This window comes from Homo sapiens, chromosome 15 (assembly GCF_000001405.40).
Source record: "Homo sapiens chromosome 15, GRCh38.p14 Primary Assembly".
NCBI lineage: Eukaryota > Metazoa > Chordata > Mammalia > Primates > Hominidae > Homo > Homo sapiens.
The window spans coordinates 46,014,424-46,021,051 of NC_000015.10; the positions used below are offsets into that span (position 1 = coordinate 46,014,424).

At 40.8% G+C, this 6,628-nt stretch overlaps 1 annotated feature.

Moving 5' to 3' along the window:
* Positions 348-642: a silencer, noted in NCBI's record as "tiled region #1940; K562 Repressive non-DNase unmatched - State 24:Quies". NCBI's record gives its function as "represses a minimal TATA promoter and a strong SV40 promoter by Sharpr-MPRA in K562 cells {active_cell/tissue: K562}" and the evidence as "EXISTENCE:reporter gene assay evidence [ECO:0000049][PMID:27701403]".

Genomic DNA, 6,628 nt, shown 5'->3' on the forward strand with positions numbered 1-6,628 from the left:
TTTGTGATTTCCTTAGTGGCTTAGGCTGAAGTTGTTAATACAGACTGTGGTGAGACTTTGCTGGGAACCCAGGCACCAGATGGGACAATCCTTAGGCCTCAGTGGTGGCAGTGGAAGCCCAAGTGTGCCTGTTCTTGGGCCTCTGTGCAGTGAATGTGGGTACCAGTGTCAGTGGTATCAGGCCAATTCCTTGGCCTGCAAGTGGCTTACTTAGGTGCCAGCAGTGACAGCAGTGGGCGGGGTTTGTGTGCAGGTCCTCGGGCCCCTAGGCAGTGTGTGTGGTGTGAGTGATGGCAGTAATGGTGGCAATACCAGGCTGGGGAGGCCTGCCCTCAGGTCCTCCAGTGGTATGTACAGATGCAGGCTATGGTGGGCAGAGCAGGGCTATCCCCAGGCTCCTGGGTGGCATGCTCAAGTGGCAGCGACTGGGGCAGTGGTGTGTGGGGAGAGCCTATCCTCAGGGCATGTGTTGCATCCTTGCTGCTGAGATTAGGGGAATAAGGTTGCTCTCAGTGGCAGTGGCCTCAGGCAAGTAGCTCTCAGGCTCTGGTGAACGCACACTTCAGCATCCTGTGTCCTGAGGGCAGCCTCCCTAGTGCGCTGCACTGCCTATTTCCCAGAGTATAGGACATTATGTTGGCTACCCGGCTGTACTGCTGTGTCTAACCAGTGTCATGTCACTCCAGTATTCTGGGTGGACACAGGCAGGTGTCAGTGGGGGCTCCAGGAATGGGGAGATGCGCAGAGTCTGTTGGGCTCCAGGGCAAGATGCAAGGTGGGGGCTGGGCTCCTCAAGTGGTGCCACACTGCAGCTGCTTGGGTCTTGGAGGGGGGGTTGTGTGACCCAGTGTGAGCTTCCTCTCTGAAGCAATGCCATTGTGCAAACTCATGGCAGCTCTCTATTGTAGTCTCAAGGCCTGCAAGCATCGAGGGTTCTCCTGTGGCTAGGATTGTAGGAGTCTGCAGTGGGAAGGTAGACCGTTGGGGATCTGTCATTTATGTTTTACTTGCACTGGGGATTCTCTACAGGACTCCAGATGAGCTTGGCTGGGCTGGCTGCCTCATTTTCCTCTCCTTTTATGCCTAGGTTTTTCCTGTCATTTCTCTGTTGAATTCCAGTGTTATTTCTTAGATCCTCTATTTGAAGTGTGATTATCTACTATGTTCTTTGTGGAGGACACAATGCCAGATGATTCTAGTCAGCTTTCTTGAACTGTTCTATTTTTAATTAATTTTTAAAATCTGATGTGAGATAGGGGTCCAAATTTATTCTTTTGGATCGGGATATCTATCTATTTGTTCTGGCACCATTTGTTAAAAAGACTCTACTTTCCCCCACTGAATTGTCTGTCACCTTGTAGAAAATCAATTGATCAGAGTTTAATTCTTGCCTCTCAATTCAGATATATTTTTCTATATGTCTAATCTTATGCCAGTTAAACTTACTTGATCATTGTAGATTTTTTGTAAGTTTGGAAATTGTGAAGTGCCAGCCCTCCAGCTTTGTTCTTCTTTTTGCAATATTGTTTGGCTATTCTGGGTTTTTATATATATATATGTGTGTGTGTGTGTGTGTGTGTGTGTGTGTGTGTATATATAGATATATACCTATATATACCTATATATACCTATATATAGGTGTATATATATACACATATGTGTATATATACCTATACATATATACCTATATATACACATAAATACCTATATATGTATATATACCTATATATACACGTATATGTACCTATAGGCGCGTATATACCTATATGTACCCGTATTTGTACCTATAGAGGCGCGTATATATATGTATATGTATCTATATATGCGTATATATACCTATACGTACCCGTATATATACCTATATGTACCCGTATATATACCTATATATACCTAAGTATGTGTATATATACCTATGTATACATATATACATATATACCTATATATACATATACCTGTGTGTGTATGTGTGTTTATATGTGTGTATATATATACACAATATATATACACACATACACACATGTGTATATATGCATACATATATGTGTATATATGCACACATATATGTGTATATACAAACACGTATGTGTATATATGCACATATATTTACATACATATATACACATATATTTACATATGTACATACATATATTTACATATACATATACATATATACACATATATACACATGTATTTTTTCAGAGTATATGTAGTATGGTAAATGTTATATTTAATTAGATGAGAAGGAATGTAGTTTTTTGTACCCTACACTGGGAGTTAGGGGATACAATATATGCAAAATGCCTGACACAGTAAATACTCAATAAGGGACAGTTGTTAAATTATGGTTTCTTGAAATTGAGATCAGTATTCTTGTTTTATTCTAAAAACTGGACTTAATGTCTGGTAAGTTATAACCAGACTTGTATTGATCAAATATGCTTGTTCATTTCTGATGGGATTTTAGATTGATTAAATGTTACTAAATCCATTCCTGAACCCTGGGAATGATTAGCTTTCATTTTTTTTTTTTAAAGGGGGAAACAGAGGGTCCATATATTCATATATATATATGAGACCTGGAGATGGATGGGGACAAAATTACAGTGCACAATGGAATTCTATTGATTATTGGATTAATCCATACTTTATTCATGGAGAACCTATCAGTGCTAAGTAACATGAGATTATTTACCAGGGTCCATCTCAGTATAGGTCTCATGGGTTTGGAAGGACTGTTCCTGATGAAACATTTATTATATTCTAGGATGTTTCATTTTCTTATAGCTCTAAGCAAACACTTTGAATCTATATATTATTATATTTTACATGACAGTGAGAAATATTTATTGTACTTCTCATTCTTTCAATCTTTCAATCACAAAATTTCACACTTTACTATTTAGATATTATACATATAATATATATAATCTTTAACTCTACATACAAAGTTAGATATAAACACTTTTAACTTAATGTGAATGTCACCTTTGTTTTTTAGAACACTCTCAGATCAAATGATCATTCAATTTTTATAAGTCTTTCTTAAAATGGATTCGTTACTATAATATATGGAATGTACTCTCTCTGTAAAAAATGAGAAATTAGTGGAGTGACAGAAGCCTAATCTTTACCACACAAAAAAGTCCAGGTAATAATGTACATTACTAGTGTGATCACTGTGATTTCAGGATTTTTGAAGCTGATTATTAAATGCAAAATGTTAAAATAAGAACCATTATGTCAATGCATTGAATTACAATAGAGAAAGTGTATACTACATAATTTAATTTATATAGTAGAAGGAAAAAAAAAACGAGAATTCATCTAGATGTTGGGGCTTGTGTCAGTTTGGGTCCTCATATGTAGAAGAGATTTATTAGGGAAAACACCTGTAGAGAATAAAGAGAAGGGGAAGCAGAAGTAGGAGAGTAAAGTCTTCAGACTGCAATACGGGTCTGAAACTTTTAAAAGGAGAGAGGTAAGAAAAGTAGCTTAGGAAGGAAGAGCCTCAGATTGAAGTGCAGATCTGAGAAATCCTTGGCCAGGCTCCAGCAGATCTGAAGACGTACCCCAAGCCCTTTCGGCTAAAAGGGGTAGACTTTGGAAATATCACTAATACAGAAAGGTCAGCTTCACTTGTTCTGGATAAATAGCCTTTCATTGTATTTTTTAAATCTTAAATATTTCATATATACATTTCATATACACTTCATATACATTTAACAAAAACAATAATCTACTGGGATCATTCAATATGTGAATCAGACAAAAGTAAAAATACAAGCCCACAGGTGAGCTTATTCCCATGCCACTACCCATGCATGTAAGTGTGTGTGTGTGTATGTTTCTATTTGGCACCTTTTGTGCACAATTTAATGACTTATTGGTGTCTCCTTTTATCCCAGTCACTGCTGAAATGTCTAGTTCCACACAGGCCAGCTTTGTGCCGATATGATTTCACTGAATCTCAATTTTTTTCATATCCTAGGACTCCTGATGCCACTACATGGGATGCCTGTGGCTGTCGTTCCCAAAAGTGCACACTTGCAAGAATAAATCAGAAGTACAGGAGAGTTTGTCTGTGGTGCTACCTTGAGCAATGGAGAAAGGACTTGATTGATAAATGCCATATTTTTTGTCCACTGAGTGGATAGTTCTGAAAGTTGCCTGAGTGCAAGCACCAGTTGCCTGTAGTGCTAGATAATATATTCTTGTATTGTTTTTCCCAACTGATATGAACTGTAATCCCCAGTGTTGGAGGTGGGGTCTAGTGGGAGGTAATTGGACAATGGAGGTGGAGTTCTCAGGAATTGGTTAGCATGAACCCCTCAGTGCTGTTCTTGTGACAGTGAGTGAGTAAATTATGAGACATGGTTGTTTAAAAGTGTATAGATTCCCACCCTTGCTCTCTTGGTCCTGCTTCCACCATATAAGATGCCTATTCCTGCTTTGCCTTCCACCATAAGTAAAATTTCCCTGAGGCTTCCCCAGAAGCAGAACCCAGCATCATGCTTCCTGTAAACCCCATGGAACCATGAGCCAATTACACATCTTTTCATTATAAATTATCCAGTCTCAAGTATTTCTTTATAGCAGTATGACAATGGACTAAGACAGAAAATTGGTACCAATGAGTGGTACCAAGGAGTGTGACATTGCTATAAAGATACCTGAAAATGTGGAAGCAACTTTGGAACTGGGTAATGGGTATGGTTGGTTCAGAAGAAGACAGGAATAGGAGGAAAATCTTGAAACTTCTTAGAGACTAGTTGAATGGTTATGACTGAAATGCTGGTAGTGATATGGACAGTGAAGGCCAGGCTGAGGAGGTCTCAGATGGAAATGAGGAACTTATTGGAAATGGGAGCAGTCACTTTTGTTATGCTTTAGTGAAAAGCTTGTCTGCCTTGTGCCCTGCTCTAGGATCTGTGGAACTTTGAACTTGAGAGTAGTGATTTAGGGTATCTGGCAGGAGAAATTTCTAAGCAGCAAAGTGTGCAAGATATGAACTGGCTGCTTCTAGCAGTCTAAACTCATAGGCATGAACAAAGAAATAACCTGAAATTAGAACTTATATTTTAACGGGAAGCAGAGCATAAAAGTTAGGAAAATTTGCAGCCTGGACATATATGGTGGAAAAGAAAACCCAATTTTCAGGAGAGGAATTCAAGTAGGCTGCAGAAATTTGCATGAGTAAAAAGGAACCAAATGATAATAGCAGAGACAAGGGGGAAAAGGCCTTGAAGGCATTTTGGAGGGTTTTGGGGAAGCCGCTCCCATCACAAGCCTGGAGGCCTAGGAGGACTGAATGGTTTCATGGGCCAGGCCCAGGGCCCTGCTGCCCTGTGCAGCCTTGGGACACTGCTCCCTGCATCCTGGCAGCTCCAGCTCAAGCTGTGGCTAAATGGGGGCCTAGTTACAGTTTGGGCTGCTGCTTCAGAAGGTGTAAGCCATAAACCTTGGTGGCTTCCATGTGGTGTTAAGCCTGCAGGTGTACGGAATGCAGGAGTTGAGGCTTGGGAGCCTCTGCCTAGATTTCAGAAGATATATAGAAAAGCCTGGATATCCAGGCATAAGCCTGCTATAGAGACACAGCCCTCATGGAGGTCCTTTACTAGGGCAGTGCAGTGGGGAAGTGTGAGGTTAGAAACCTCACGGAGTCCCCAGTAGAGCACTGCCTAGTGGAGCTATGAGAAGAGGGCCACTGTCCCCCCGACTCCAGAATGATAGATCCACTGACAGCTTGCACCCTGTGCCTGAAAATGCTACAGAAAACTCAACACCAGCCCTTGAGAGCAGCCACAGGAGGCTGGACCCTAAAAAGACACAGTGGTGGAGCTGCCCAAAGCATTGGGCGTTCACCCCTTGCATCAGTGTGCCCTGGATGTGAGACATGGAGTCAAAGGAGGTAATTTTGAAACTGTAGGAGTTAATAACTGCCCTGCTGGGTTTTGGACTTGGATGGGGCCTATAGCCTCTTTCTTTTGGCTGATTTCTCCCTTTTGGAATGGGAGTATTTACCCAATGCCTATACTCTCATTGTATCTTGGAAGTAACTAACCTTTTTTTTTTTTTTTTTTTATAGGCACATGAGCAGAAGGGACTAGCCTTGTTTCAGATGAGATTTTGGACTTGGACTTTTGAGTTAATGCTAGAATGAGTTAAGACTCTGGTGAACTGTTGGGAAGGCATGATTGTATTTTAAAATGTAGAAGGACTTGAGATTTGGGATGGCCCACGGGCAGAATTACATGGTTTGGATCTGTGCCTGCCCAAATCTCATGCTGAATTGTAATTCCCAATGTTAGTGGTGGGTCCTGGTGGGAATTGATTGGGTCATGGGGGAAGAGTTCTCATGAATGAGTTAGCACCATCCCCTCAGTATTATTCTCCTGATGGTTGAGTGAGTGAGTTATCATGAAATCTGGTTGTATAAAAGTGTACAGCACCACTCTTCTCACTCTCTTGGTCATGCTCTGGCCATGTAAGATGCCTGCTCTTGCTTTGCCTTCTGCTCTGAGTAAAATCTTCCTGAAGCCTCCCCAGAAGCAAAAGCCAGCATCATGCTTTCTTTACAGCCTGTGGAACTGTGAGCCAATGAAAAATTAAACATTAATAGATTACCCAG